General features: G+C 35.6%; 1 protein-coding gene across 4 annotated transcripts in view; it reads right to left on the bottom strand.

Moving 5' to 3' along the window:
• Window positions 1-16,447, bottom strand: part of NELL1 (neural EGFL like 1) — a 906,136-nt gene that overhangs the window by 193,821 nt on the left and 695,868 nt on the right. For all 4 annotated transcript variants that reach the window (NM_001288713.1, NM_201551.2, NM_001288714.1 and 1 more), the window contains one exon: window positions 10,918-11,013. In NM_001288713.1, coding sequence (NP_001275642.1) covers window positions 10,918-11,013 — 96 coding nt within the window. The remainder of the gene's footprint in view (window positions 1-10,917; window positions 11,014-16,447) is intronic.

Raw genomic sequence — 16,447 nt, 5'->3', positions numbered from 1 at the left:
TTCCAGGTGCTGAATCAGCTCAGTCTTTCCCCAGAGCAGAACTCTGTTGCATAAATTAACTTTTGTTAGCTTGATAAGATGTTACATAAAATGTTTGTGGGAACAGAGAGAATAGAGCTGGAAAGATGATACAAATAAAATCACTTTACACTTGAATTGTACAGTGAGAGGTTGTAAGAACTGATAGAAGAATGAGAGAGACTTCAGTAGCAAAAGATAAATATAAGACATGGCTTTACTGTTTACCTGCTGAGTATCCTTGGGCAAGCAGCCTATTATTTCTGAGTCTCAATTTTATCCCCTGGTTAATTAAAGTTATCACTAGCTACAATTTCTAGACACTGTGTTCCAGGCTTTCTACCAGGTATTTTAAGTACAATATCTCATTTAATCTCACAATAAAATTATGAAGTAAGTAATATCAACATCTCTTTTCTTTTTTTAGTGGCAAACCGACACTTAGAAACGTTAAGTAAATCTGATCCAGTGTTACAGAGCTGGGTAAATAGTGGCAGCTTAACTAAAACTAAGGTAGTGTGACTTCAGAGATTGTGCTCTTCACCCCTTTTTTGTTTACTCTTTTCCTGTCTTAGGCACAAAAATGTTGAAAGGAATATGTAAAACAATGCAAATGATCAAATAAGAGATTATGGCTCATTACTCACAGGAAAACATAATTTACTTTACCTCCTGTATAATCTGTTAAGTTTAATTGCCCTTGGGCACAGACAAAATGATCACGAGGTAGCAGATTATAAAGCAAAGTGTATGAAATTTGGATTCAGCAATACACGGGTTAGAATCTCAACTTGACTACTGACTGGCTGAATGACACTTATACATGTCCTCATATATGTCCAAAAGGATAAAAGTAACTCCCTCACAGGAAATAATAAATGCAAAATTTGGGGCTTACAATAGATGTATAGTAGATTAATGTAAATTTCACTTCACAGAGGCAGATTTAGTATCAAAACTCAGGCCTCTGATCATCAATACAGTACTCTTTTCAGTATACTAGACTGCATCTTTATTTTCTCGTCCAAATTCTTGTTTGTGAAAAAAAGGCATTGATGTTTCCAGTTAATTGAAATGACTTGAAAATGTGCTGTTTGTCTGGACAATGAGAGTAAAAACAGCTGGAGATATTTTTCCATATGTCTGCAACCTGGAAAGATGAAAATCCTTGCAGGATCAAGGACAGGGTTGTGAAATAGCTTCAAGTGACTCTAAGAACTGTGTGTCAACCCCATTTTTCATCCAAGGGAAGTATGCTGGATCTTTAGCAGAGATGTCATTCAAGAAAGAAGAAAAACATTGAGTGGGTAGAACTGAAGAGATGAAAGGGGTTACTGAACAGGGCAAGACTTCTCAGCTGCTCCAAACATGATCACATTCTCTCAGTCTTAGCAGGTTTAAGCTCCTCTCATCTTCTAGTTTGATGCCTCTCTTCTGCCATTCTTAATTTCTGGAAACATCCAGGACAGGAAATTCTTCAAACCATATTCACATTTACCTGACTTTAATAGAATTTTAAAAGAGCATTTGCAACCCTCCTTTTACTAGTGGGTTTAACTAAATGGGCAATGCAGAGAAACCTCAAATCCTCATATTTCTCTTTTTCAATGATGCCATAGAAGCCCTGCTTACTCCTTTCTGAGCATCAGGCACAAGAAAAGAAGCAACGTTGATGATAGAAGTTGCCATTTACTGAGCAAGTAATCATGTGCCAGACAACCTGAGAAAGCTCAAATTGAGAAAAGTTAAATAATTCTCCTGTCTGCTATGGATGTAAAGATGTACTTTTGCATTCATTCTCCCCCCAGATGCCCTTGCCACAGTCCTGTGATAACTGGAGAGGAAATAGAATAAATATTGTATTCTCTGTTATGGGAGGGGAATAAGTATTCACCTTCTTAAAAATTCTTAAAATCTCCCCCAGTAACAGGGATGGGTAAAGCAGTTACCAATAGATGGATGCTGATAGGGATCTCTCAAAATACAGGCAAGATATAAAATATGAAAGAGCACAGAAGTCTTTGTTTCTGATCATTCTTTTTACCTGGTAAATTGACAATATACTTCAGGCAAACTATTACTCTCTGTCTACATACCTGCAAGTCCGCGGGGCACAGAAAAGAGAGTAGAATAAATTTTTCTGCAAAATTTTTCCTTTAGAAAAGGTTCAAAAAATCACAAGTAACTAAGAAAAATTTTGACTGTTATGTTCTCTTTATTTTAAGCTTTTAAAAATCATTTGTTATTACAAACATAATTTAAATGTATTATTTTGAAAATTGGAAAATCATATAAGCAAAACAGGAGAAAATCACTCAAAATTATATTGTGAATGAACAAAGCTGTTCAAAGTTGTTTGCTTTTTACCGATATCCCTAAATATTCTTGATCAGATACTTACTATATTTCAAAAACACTTGGATACTGTGAGAGGTTCAAAGCTTATGAGAGTTTATTTAATAATAGTTACAGTAAATGAACCTATTTCTGAACAAATGTGGAGGAGAAAGTCAAGGTCTGCTATTTTTATAGCATCAGCATATTTTTTCCAATTATTTTATACTAGACTGTGTTCTAGCCTACAACTTGGGTAGTTGTGTCCAGTTCTCAGTCTGATTCACAAATCACTGGTTATAGATACCTGATATCTACACAATTGTATTTATACACTCTATAATTCATATAATATACAATGTGGAAATGTAGTATAATTGGCAGGCTTGTCTGTACCACTATAAATAAATAACTTGATTTACAGCCCAGTCCAATTTCCTACCAAAAAAACTGATTAATTGAGTGGCTTTGTAATACAGAAAGCATTTCAGTGCAAATTCTCCTTAAAATGTACAAGTGTTGGCCGGGCACACTTTGGGAGGCTGAGGCAGGTGGATCTCATTAGGCCAGGAGTTTGAGACCCTCCTGACCAACATGGCAAAACCCCATCTCTACTAAAAATACAAAAATTAGCTGGGTGTGGTGGAGAACATCTGTAATCCCAGCTACTCGGGAGGCTGAGGCACAAGAATCGCTTGAACCCAGGAGGTGGAGGATGCTGTGAGCCAAGATCACATCACTGCACTCCAGCCAGGGCGATGGAGTGAGACTCTGTCTCAAAAAAAAAAAAAAAAAATGTACAAGTGTGTGTGTCTAAGTCTTACACCATAAGAGAAATTCTTTCATTATTACATACATTTAAATTTTTCTTCTAAGAAAGAGGATAAGTATACTATCTTCCTTTAGGAGAACACAAGGTTTGGAGTCACATGTTCCTTGGGTGGAGTTGGAGAATCATGTTTATTCCACCATTGAGAGAGGGTGAACATAGAGTAGGCTGAGTTTCCATACCAACCTGGTTCCTAAGACTGTAAGAAGGTGTGCCTCTCATAGCACATGATGGATATCATCCAGTCTCTGGCTCTTGAATGGTTAAGCATTTTCTAATCACAGTAAACCCTAAGTACTTCTAAAAATGTTCAAGAGATTATTAAGTGTTTTTCTTGTCAAAAAAAGCTTATAATTTTCATATTATTATCAAATAACACTGAGACATGATTATCTATAATATATATATATATATATATACATATATATGCATATTTTTTAAAAAGACTTTTTAAAATGCTACATCTAGACCACGAGTTCTTAATGGGATGAAATTTTGTCTCCCAGGGGATATTTGGCAACGTCTGGAGAATTTTTCCTTAATTTTACTAGAGACTTTTTAAAAGCTTTATTTAATTTTGAATGCTCTCACCACAAAGAAACGACAAAGGTTTAAGGTGATAGGTATGAAAACATTTTTGATGGTCACAGCTGGAGGTGTACTGCTAATTACATTTCATGGATAAAGTCCAGGGATGATGTTAAACATCCTACAATGCATAAGACAGCCCTCCACAATAAAGAATTATCTGAACTAAAATGTCAATAGTGTCTTCTAGGTTAAGAAATCCTGATCTATGACATTACAACCAGATCCCACAGAAATACAAAAGATCCGCACAGGCTATTATGAACACCACTACATACACAAACTAGCAAATCTAGAGGAAATGGATGAATTCCTGGAAACACATTATCTCCCAATACTGAATCAGAGAGAAATTGAAATGCTGAATAGACCAATATCAAGTTCCAAAACTGAATTTATAATAAAATTCTACCATGCAAAAATGCCCTGGACCAGATGGATTCACAGTCAAATTCTACTAGACATACAAAGAGCTGACCAATTCTACTAAAACTATTCCAAAAAATCAAAAAAAGGGACTCTTCCCTAACTCATTCTACAAAGACAGCATCACCCTAATAGCAAAACCTGACAAAGGTACAATGATAAAAGAAAACTAAAGGCCATTGTGCCTGATGAACATAGCTGCAAAAATTCTCAATAAAATACTAGCAAACTGCATTCAACAGGATATGAAAAAGTTAACTCACCATGATGAGATAAGCTTCATTCCTGGGATGTGAAGTTGGTTCAACAAATACAAATCAATAAATGTTATTCAATACATAAACAGAATTAAAAATGAAAACCATATGATTATCTCCATAGATGCAGAAAATGCTTTTGATAAAATCCAATATCTCTTCATGATGAAAACTCTCAACAGACTAGCCATTGTAGGAACACACCTCAAAATAATAGGAGCCATCTATGACAAATCCACAGCCAACATCATACTGAATGGGCAAAAACTGGAAGCATTCCCCTTGAGAACTGGAACAAGACAAAGATATTCACTCTCACCACTCCTATTCAACATAGTATTGGAGGTGCTAACCAGAGCAATATGGCAAGAGGAAGAAATAAAAGGCAACCTATTAGGAAAAGAAGAAGTCAAACTGTCTCTCTCCATGCACAATACAATCCTATATCTAGAAAGTCCTAAAGACTACCAAAAGGCTTCTGGAGTTGATAAATGACTTCAGTAAAGTTTCAGGATAGAAAATCAATGTATAAAAATTAGTATCATTTCTATACACCAATAACGTTCAAACTGACAGCCAAATCAAGAACACAATTCCATTTACAATAGCCACACAAAAATATACCTCGAAATACATCTAACCAAGGAGGTGAAATACTTCTACAAGGAGAACTACAAAGCACTGCTATAATAAATCATAGATGACACAAACAAATGGAAAAACATTCCATGCTCATGGATTGGAAGAATCAATATCATTAAAATGGCCATACTGCCCAAAGCAACCTACAAAATTCAGTGTTTTTCCTATCAAACTGCTGATACAAGTTTTCACTGAACCAGAAAAAAATATTCTAAAATTCATTTGGAACCGAAACAAAAAGACTGCATAGCAAAGCAATGCTAAGCATAAGGAACAAAGCTAGAGGCATCACACACTACCTGACAACAAACTATATTATATGGCTACAATAACCAAAACAGCATGGTACTTGTAAAAAAAGACAGAGAGACCAATGGAACAGAACAGAGAACCCAGAAATAAAGCTGCACACCCACAGCCATCTGATCTTCAATAAAGTTGACAAAAATAAGCAGTGGGAAAAAGACTCCCTATTCAATAAATGGTGCTGAGATAGCTGGCTAGCCATATGCACAAGAATAAAACTGGACTCCTACCTTTCACCATATACAAAAAATTAACTCAAGATGGATTAAAGAATTAAATATAAGACCTCAAACTGTAGAATCCTATAAAAAAATCTAGAAAACACCACTATGGACATCAGCCTTAGGAAAGAATTTATGCCTAACTCTTCATAAGCAATTGCAACAAAAACAAAAATTGACAAGTAGGACTTAATTCAACTAAAGAGCTTCTTCACAGCAAAATAAACTATCAACAGAGTAAGCAGACAACCTACAGAATGGGAGAAAATCTTCACAAACTATGCTTCCAACAAAGGCCTAATATTCAGAATATATAAGGAACATAAGCAATTCAACAAGCAAAAACAGATAACTCCATTGACAAGAGACATGAACAAACACTTCTCAAAAGATGACAGACATACAAGCAGCCAACAAATATATAAAATAATGCTCAACATTACTAATCATTGGAGAAATAAAAATCAAAATCACAGTGAAATACCATCTCACACCAGTCAGAATGGCTATTATTAAAAAGTCAAAAAACAACAGATGCTGGTGAGGCTGCAGAGAAAAGGGAACACTTATACATTGTTGGTGGGAATGTAAATTAGTTTAGCTACTGTGTAAAGCAGTTTGGAGATATCTCAAAGAACTTAAAACTACTATTTGATCCAGCAATCCCATTACTGTATATATACCCAAAATAAAACAAATCTTTCTACCAAAAAGACACATGCACTCACATGTTCGTTGCAGCACTATTCACAGTAGACATTCACAAATATATAGAATCAATCTAAGTGCTCAATAGTGGAGTGGATAAAGAAAATATGGTACATATACACCATGGAATACTAAACAGTAATAAAAGAATGAAATCATGTCCTTTGCAGACACATGGATGAAATTGGAAGCCATTATTTTAAGTCAATTAACACAGGAACAGAAAACCAAGTACCTCATGTTCTCACTAATAAGTGGGAGCGAAGCATTAGGTAAATATGGACATAAAGATGGCGATGATAGAAACTGGGAACGACTAGAGTGGGAAAGGAGGGGGCAAAGGCTGAAAAACTAACTATTGAGTACTGTTCTCAGTACCTAAGTGACAGGATTACTCATCCTATATCTAGGATTTTATTGCATCATGCAGTATACACAGGTGAGAAACCTGTTCATGTAACTCCTGAATCTAAAATAAAAGTTGAAAAAAGGATTAAGAACACACATTAGGATCAACCTACATTCACATCCATAAACTCCTGCCTTCTTCCTTCTTCTCTGTTTGGATGTGCAAGTCCACACCTGCATGTGCACACACAGAAGACCATACACACACACACACACACACACACACACACACACACACACAGACACACACAGTCAGTTCCACACAGCCTGGTAGCTGAATCCCAGTTTGTGGCTGTTCAACGTCAGATAAGTAAACAATATATCCTGTTCCATGATCAAGAGTACAAGATGTAGGGAGTCAAAGACTAAAACCAGAAAATTTCAAGGGAAGTTTGAGAGGTATGGAAAAGGTTCCAAAGCAAGGAGTTTAAAATCAGAGCCAAGGTTTGAGAATAAGTAACAGGGTTCACAGTGTGGTGGTTTTAAAATATGCCCACAAATACTTTGACAATCGTTTTTTTAAGAGGTGGTGCCTCATTCCTCTCTCCTTGAGTGTGGGCTAGAGTGAGTCTCCTCTAAGGAACAGAACGTGGCCAACGTGAACAGCATTTGATTGAGTCACAAAAAGCATTACAGCTTCCTCCTTGCTTTCACTCTCTTTCTCATCACTTGACGTGCAGGATTCCAGTGGCCATGTTATAAGGCCTCTCACGTAGCCTGTGGAGAGGCCCACAAAATGAAAAACTGAGGCCTCCTGCCAATCGCCACATGAGTGAGCCATCTTGGAAACAGACTCCCCAACCTTCAGACAATCACTGGCCCAGTCAACATCTTGACTGCAATCTCATAAAAGTCCCTGAGCTAGAACCACTCAGCTAAGCTGCTCTCAAATTTCAAACCATAGAAACTATGAGATAATAAACATTTGTTGTTTAAAGCCACTAAAAAAAAATAGAAAAAAGTACCAAATAGAAAACTTAGTCTTACATACTTCTTAGAGGGTGATTTTCTGCTGTTTTGTGGCAGTTAACATATCTCTGGATTTAGTGTAGCTCTTTGATTTTACATGTGAAAATTCTCTAGGAGGACTTTGTGTTGTTTCATGCTGTTTTGTAGGTGGCTACATTACATCCGTGTGGCATTCTGTCCTTTTAGTTCTTAGCCAGGTTGAGAAGAGAGCATTCACCAGCAGCCCTTTTCCATCCTAAGAGTGGCAAAACTACTCCTCTTACTGATTCTTCACTCATCTTTCTCTTTACACATCTCCATGCTAATTGTAAAACCAAATCAAACTAAGCACACAGAGAAGGAAGTTGAAGGGTAGGAGAAGAACTAGAATTATACGTTGTTTAGAAACCAAAGGAGGCAAAGTGTTTGCTTAAGGGGGGTTATGAAAAGTTTAAGGTTACTGAAATGTCATCAATGGAAAGTAAATGCAGAGTTGTTCATCTGTGTGTTACATACCAAACACAAGTGGGATTATTAACATCAGACAGGAATTTTCTTTAACAAATTATTTAACTGATTTTACTAAGTGTACTTGAATTTTGAAAGGCTGAATATTGCAAGCAATGAATAAAACCAGTAACTAGGGGGATAAGAGAACATGCTTCAGACTAAACATAAGTGGATTCTATATAGCTCAAATGGGACCATTTACTTAGTCTTAAAATTAAAACAAATCAAATGAAAGATTTAGTGTAATCATGCCACAAGACATTCACAATTCATTTGCATTTTTCCTTTGGCACTATGAGTCTCAAGGCATCTAGCACAACTATTTGAAGGCAAATAGACTTATTTAATGTTTATTGCTAATGATCAACATGACAAAATAACTCAGACAAGATAATGGCACAGATTTTCAGTGTTTAGCCTATAATTTATTTAGATCCCTTGCACACAACTGACTGAAAACTATGTACTCTATTCATTCCATGAAAAATCTGATAGAATTTGAGTATTGGCCAATATTAAGTGGAATGACTTTGCTACAGATGAAGTATAGCATTAAATGCAGAGAAATCTTGTTTTATTGTATTTTTTCCCTTTATGATGACTGTGCAAGAGTTCAAGAATATGCAATTCTCCATGTCAACTTTAATATTTACATAGGGACCCATGCTTGCCTATCTCTGTCTAACTTTTTCCCTGGTCTTGATTTTCTCCTTTATATTTTTCTGACTTCACATTACAAACCAGACTGTAAGCACTGATGCAATCACCCACTTACTCAGCAGAGAAAAGGACAAAGGACAAATCAAGAAGGCATGAGACACCATAATCAATTCCTCCTGGTCTGCTACTGATCACAGGCCCTGGTCTAAGGTAATGTTTCCCTCCAGTTATTTCTAATGTAAAAAAATAAGAATGTTACAGTAGTTGCTATGGTTAAATATCCTGAGGTGCTTGGTGAAAATGCAGATTCGTGAAACCACCCCCTGATATTCCATCTAGTTTGGAGAGGTGGCCCAAGAATATGTATTTTAATAAAAAATCCATCTAGTATCCTTGAAAAACCCATGCAAGGTTTGATAACACAGGCTTTGTGAGATACAACTGTGTTTTATTCTCAGTTCTAATAATTGCATAAGTTACTTACACCAGCTAAATTTTAGTTTGATTACATATAAGAGTAATAATATCTAACTCCTTTGTTTAATCTTAAAATATTCATTTAAAAATCCTAACAATTATTGCAAATAAATGACATATCATTAGTAGTAGTATTCATGATTATTGGCATCATTATTACCATTCTTTCCCCATTAATTCTGTGTATTCAGTTTAGGGAAATACAGCAGTTCTACAGGAAGCAGTAAGAATCTTTTAGTTTTTGTTTTTTTTTTCATTTTAAAAAACCTACTTAAAATTAAATGTAGTTCAGTAAAGACATGTGTCCTAAGCTACCCTTAAGTTTCTTTGCTTTTAGCAAGAATTCTTTAGCTCTATGTGGTAATTCTCTTGCGCTGCGCAAAGGTAGTACATGGTTCTTTCATATGTTTTTTTTAAGAAAAAACAGTTATTATTTGTTATATTTTTATTTGTTGATAATGTCACAAAATATAGAAACAGTGGTGCAAATATTGTTCACTGACTTCCTTACTGAACAATTTTAGTTACCTTTTGGCATGTCTTTAAAAGGATTAGACTGCCTCATAAATATACAGGCAGTGCAATATAACAGGTTGGTCAGGGTGAGAAATAATAAATGGGCACATAAAAAAATGTTATCTAAATTCAGAAGCTTCTAAACATGAAGGAAAGGAAACAAGAACTTTGCTTATATCTCTGGCACCAGATGAAGACACCTCCCCCGTCATGTAATAGTAAGGATAATAAATGCGACATCCTATTTCCATTTTTCTGTGCTATGATATGAAAAGCAGTAAGTGTGACATTCCAGAGCCAGAACAAAAACACAATGCAGTGATTTTACCCTAACAAAACACATGGAAGAACAAACTGAAATATTCACTTTTACGTGTCATAAACCCCTTGTTTGCACTGACACATACATTGGCATTGAACATCAAATTTCACTTATACACAAATAGGAGGGCTTCTCCAATCAATAAGAGTTGGATTTCACCAAACAGTGCCAAATGTAAACACAACATTTATTGCAAATAGAAAGTTGCACATAATGTAATCTTACTTACGCTAATTGGCTTATATTATCAGGTCTATGAATGATAATGTTCCTAATAAACCAATATTAGAATAAAATCTCAAGCACACCAATAAACCTGCTGCTGGAATTATTTAATGTGGTTTTACGCAAGGAGCATGTGCTGCTAATTTAGATTCCGTTGACACAGCAGATTGTTATAATTCTAATAACTGTGTGTGATGCTACCCAGTAGATGATAAGTGAGGCAGGTCAGTTCATCAGGCTTTATCTCTAATTAGCACTAAAAATGCACACTGAGCTATAGCAGAGAAAATACTTGACCTTGCTAAAATTAAATCGTTGGAGGGAAGGCGAATGAAGCTCTATTTTCAGAGAGTGGGAGGCTTTTAAGCAAGGTACCCACTTTGGGAGAGCTCCATCCACCGTCACAACACAATGTATCAAGTCAACCCACAGTATTATTTCTAAAGAAAGAGCTGTTATTCTTTCTGAATCAATCTTTCTACCAATCTTTGTCCCTATCCCCCATAAAACAAGCTAGATTACCTTTCTCGCAGTGGCTTCCTGTGAATCCAGATGGACAGACACATTTGTTGGGAGCCACACACGTTCCACCGTATCTGCAGCCCTCTTCACAGAAAGCTGTTGCAAGAGAACAAAGTATTTATCTTAGATAAAATGCAATAGATAAATTCACGGTAAACAGCAGGAGCACTGAAGCAATTCTTTCTTTGTTGCATAGGGAATACACATCTGTATTGATACATTTAAAAATTCCATACAGAAAAAGAAATAAATGTAATAATACCTATTTCACTGGTTTATATGAAATCAACTGAAATAACAGATGTAAAATGTTTAGCATAGGGCTGGCATGCGCTAAATGGTAGCTAGTAGTAACCGCTATAACTTTTACTCTCATTTATACATTTGAAATCAAATAGAATAAATTGAGTAACTAGGAAGGGTAGGGTCAGGATGAAGGTAAAGGCCTTTCTAATGTTCACTATTTTGTAACCTAATCTTTTCCACTATACATCTCTTATGACAATAAAAACTTTTATGTTCTTTAAAAAAGATTTCTGATAGTCCATATAGCTTAATATTTATAATATAAATGTAACTAATCATTTACATTTGAATATATAAGCTGTTTCCAATATTTTGGTAATAAAAACAATGCCTTGTCTTAATAGCTAAAATGCTTAGCACAACCTGAACTATTCCTTTATGAAAAATGCCTCAGTGTGGAAATGCTGGTCCCAAGGGTATGGATTTTTAGGTTTTCTTGATAAGCATTGCAAAGCTATTCTTACTCCTTCCCAGTGCTATGCTGTCAGCCTTCCCAGACCAGGTTAGTTCCCGTTAGTACATACTTGCATAGCATAAAATAGCTCCATGAACCTCTCCATTGCAATAGTAAATACAATTGTAAATTTACATATAATTTATTACCATCCCCTGCTTTATCAACTGAACTGTAAGACCCATAAGAATAAGTAGCATAATTGTTTTTACTCACCACTGTATTGTAGCCTCAGTATGTATTCACATAGCAGATGCTCAAAACTGATTTGTTAGATGAATTAATCTACATTTTACAGGTTGTTCTGATAGTAAAACTCTCATTCTAACAATTCTGCAACTCTTCCATCCAGTTAATTTAATATCAAACCTTGCTGGATAACCAAGAATTTAGAGTACTAAACGTGCAAAATTTCTCATTAATGAAGATATTGCAACTGTTAACCCTGAGTTTATTTTATTCACAAGAAAGATAGGTGAGCAAATGTTTTAAATTTTAATTGTAGTTTGAAAAAGTCACCCTAGAAAAATGTCATGGTTATATTTTGCCATGCTCACTCAAAATTAATATGAGTGTAACTTCAAAAGCCACATGATGTGTTCAGAAAGCTGAACACTATTCCAAATACGTAGAACCCCTCACAATATTGTTGTTTTCCACATTATTTAATATCCCTTGAATGATTTAACATTTCATAGCTTCAGCAATTAATTTCAACTTCCTCTGCCTCTGCCAAAGGATAGTGTGTACCTTAGAATTCAAACATCATCTCCTGTTTCTAGCATCTTAGAACACTTCGCCTATGCAAAAAAAAAAAAAAAAAAAATAGTACCTACCATGGTAAGTTCATCACAGAAAACGAAATATATAAAATACACATGTAGAGATGGAGGTAAAATCTCTTGTCCCAAAAATTATACCTTGTGGGCTGTGGTGACTGACATTTCAAAGAACAGTAAAGTGTTTTTGCAAGCTAAAAATAACAGATGGAAAGCCAGTAAGAAAAAGTTTTAAGTAGCACCAAAAGAAGGCAGGGCTTGAAAAGAGAAGGTTCAGCTTGGGTTTCTTTAGTGCAGAGTTGAAACTGCACTTCATCTAAGTTTTGCAGACCTGGTTAGGAGACTTGATGCTGTTTCATCGTAGGTATATGCGTTTGATTTACTCAGTCTTTAAGTAGAAATGATGATACAGTGGAGGGTTTTATGAGGAGAGCACGAGATGTCTGTGATGTTCTAAGGATGTGCAGATATTAGAATAAACAGAGTAGTACGATGATTAAATAAGTTAACATTTACAAAGAACTTAAAATGGTGTTCGGCACATAGTGTTATATAAATATCCTGTTAAATAAAATTAGCTGATAACAGAATTGTTATGACTGTGAAACACGGACACGGACCAGGAACAAATTGTCTAATATCCAGACAATATAAACCTGATACTAGAATACAATGTAATCATCATCATACAAGGTGTTCACCTTCACCAAGATGGGCTTAAGACATACCTTTTCATTTATGCTTGATTTGTTTCCTAACAAGGGTAGTTTTCATTCTTTTCATGGAGGTATCTGATAGGTATATTGTTCTTATTACAGAAATGGTGAACTGGAGGCTCTGAAATCAAGTGCCCTAAGGCTGCATAGGTAGAAAGTAGCAGAGACAAGATTCAAGTGAAGACATCTTTGCCTTCGAAATCTTACCCCTTCCTTGTTTGTTACAGTGTGGGTTAATCTACAATCCGGTGTTCACAAAGGCAGGTTTATTTTATTTTTAAAATAGTTCCATAAGGGCTAAGGGAACTGACTAAAAGTTAAAAGAAAAAAAAAAAAAACCAATGCCTAAATTGCACATGTCGCATTAAAGGATAGGGATGAAGAGCTATTCAAGTTCATGTACCTATTATCTAATTTCTATTTTTGCCTGAGACTAGTCACATTTCTCCCAATCTAGGCACACATTATTTTTAATGATCTTTATCTGAAATAACCAAGAAATCATTCCCTAGTTGAACCTTAGACAATATACCAAAGTAATTTCAACACAAAGCAAATAAAGAAGGGATATGTCATCAAAAACATAAAATACTTTGTGGAAATTAAGATCAATTCAAGCTTTCTTTGAATATGTAATAAAATATCAGAAATACTGATGTATCTTAGTCTAAAGATTGTGCACGGATTATTCATATATGGACAGGCTCTTCTTGATTGACTATGAACTCAGCATTTCAATGAAAAGGACTCTGATATGCAGAGGACTGGTAATTTGCACAGCATTATTTAGTTGATGGCAGAAGCAAAACAAGGAGCTGGGTCACCGCTACATTGCCTTTCCAGTTTGTGAGGAGATGGGCTGGCAGAAATTATATGGTCCTAATTCTGGCTCTATATTTATTAACTGTATGAACTACAGCAAATCATTCCACTCCTCTGTGCCTCAGTTTTCTCAAGAAAAAAAGCAGCTGAGGATAATAATAACACTCATGCTGGGGGGATTAAATTAAGTTACCAATGTATACCCACACAGCATAAGGCACAGCCAATGGAATGTGCTCACGAACTGGATGTGATTGTTGTTATTTATCACCAGGACTCTGCTTTTCCAGATAACGGTACAGTTATGAACCAGTTTATGTTCTAGATTCTAAAGATGCTGCAGTAAGACGGCAAAGATCCCTGTGCCACGGAGCTTATTCTTTAGTGAGGACTCCTCGTCACTCCTTCCTTAACTTAGTGCCCTTTGTAATATCGTGTGGTTTGCAATGCAACTTAGAATCATAGCTCCTTTGAAAACTCAGAGAAACTCAGGTACCATGGATATGTGACTTCATATGTTGGTACTTCTTCAACTGCTACCCAGATTCTGAAGTGTGGCAAAAATAGATTGTGTGTGTGTGTGTGTGTGTGTGTGTGTGTGTGTGTGTGTAGTAAGATAAACCTGAATCTGTCATTATAGTGCCATTTGTTATTAACTTGCTGCACTGGAGGAGATGTTAGATTGGATCAACTGTAAAATGGTATGCTTCTAATATTGAAAGAACTCTTTTCATTGTGCAAGAAAATAAAATCACAAAATTCATATTTGAGAGAGGTTCAATCCACAGAAAGAGTACTTTTTTTATATTAAAATATAAAATATTCTCAGCATGTAAAATAAAATGTGGGTATTAAGGGGAACAAAATGAGAAGGTGGGTTTGCAGATGCCAGGTTTGTGGATGTCCAGTACCATCACCATGTACTCAATTCAACAAAAGCAGTTCTACACTAATAAAAAGTAATAGCCCTTCACTTTCTAAACACTTCTCATAATCTTCTTAAAGTTTATTGACATATATTTAGTTCCTAGGGACACCCTGAAATCCTGAAACAGTAAGTAAACATACAAATTTCAACACCATCTGTTAGAAGGTAAACCTTTTCTTCCTTCCTAGTTTCCTTGAGGAAGAATTTTCCTTGAGGCAGCATTTTCCTGAAGCTAATTTCTGACCTCTGCCTGCTGACTTTGCTCATTCTACCCCATGGAGGTGGAGGGATTTATTTTGTTGGTAAATTTGAGAAAGATAAATATCAGGATGATGCTGCTCAAGTGGAAGAGGCAGAAGGATGGTTTGGGAAGCTCTATGTGCTTCGATGCGACAATTGTTGCATTTCCAGCTTTATTTTGGGTAGCATGTTAGTAGGTATGAATTATATTATTAAAAATAACTGTTTAAATAAATAAAAGCTGGCCCCTATAGACAGTGATTACAAGGTGTCAGGAACCAAAGGTTATAATTAATTTGACCATGTCTGCCTAAAATCCAAAATGGGAAGGAAATCATTAAAATCTGGTCATGTTCAGCAAAGGACCATGCCTGCCATTCTTCTTTCTTGAGAATGAGCTGACTTCAGACATTATCAGTTTTCCTTACTTCTTTAATGACACTTTCCTCTCTGGAACTCAGCGGATAAGTCGGCCTTCTTCTGTGTTCATTTTTATCAAGCCAGCTCAGTTTACAAACAGAAACTCATTTCTCCAACCCAGCTCTGTAAATAATAAGGGTGATATCATCACCTTTACATTTGCTTTTTGGTTTCATTCCTCACCTTGTTCAGAGCATATTTATCAAACGCCCCTCAAACATTTTTGGTTGTCACAAGATGAAGGGAGGAACAATGTGGTCCTATTACTTGGTGAGTCGAGACCATGAATGTTTAAACATCCTACAATGCACAGGACAGCCCTATATGACAAAGAATGATCTGGCCCAAAATGTCAATAGTGGTGATGTTGAGAAATTCTGCCCCAACTTTACACAATTAAGTTGATGAAGTGTCTTCAGGAGCAAAATTGTATTATTTTAATCCTGTTTTCCATTCCTCCCCCCTCAACCTCTCCCCCAAAATAGTTTAAAATATCGAGGAAAGATAAGAGTAAAAATCAGTAACATGGCCAGTTGAATATAAAAACAAACATCCAGAAGTCTACAATACTTGCTTTTCATATTATCATTCTCTTCTAAAGCACAGAGTATATTACAAAATTTAATTATTTACTTCAAAAATCACTTTTGACACTATCAGTTACTATATACGTTTGTATCAGCAGTTCCAGTAGCCATTTCCACTGTCCTTTCAACAGTAATCATAATAATAATGACAGCAATACTAATGGTAAATTCTGTTTGTTGAAAACTTATCAAATGCCAGGCACTGCAGTAAAGCCTGATATCATAATTCCATTTCATCCTTACAGTAACACTGTCGATTAATCATATTATACTCACTG

Source organism: Homo sapiens, chromosome 11 (genome assembly GCF_000001405.40).
Source record: "Homo sapiens chromosome 11, GRCh38.p14 Primary Assembly".
Taxonomy (NCBI): Eukaryota; Metazoa; Chordata; class Mammalia; order Primates; family Hominidae; genus Homo; species Homo sapiens.
Note: the sequence above shows the minus strand (reverse complement) of the source record. Positions and strands in the feature narration are given on the sequence as shown.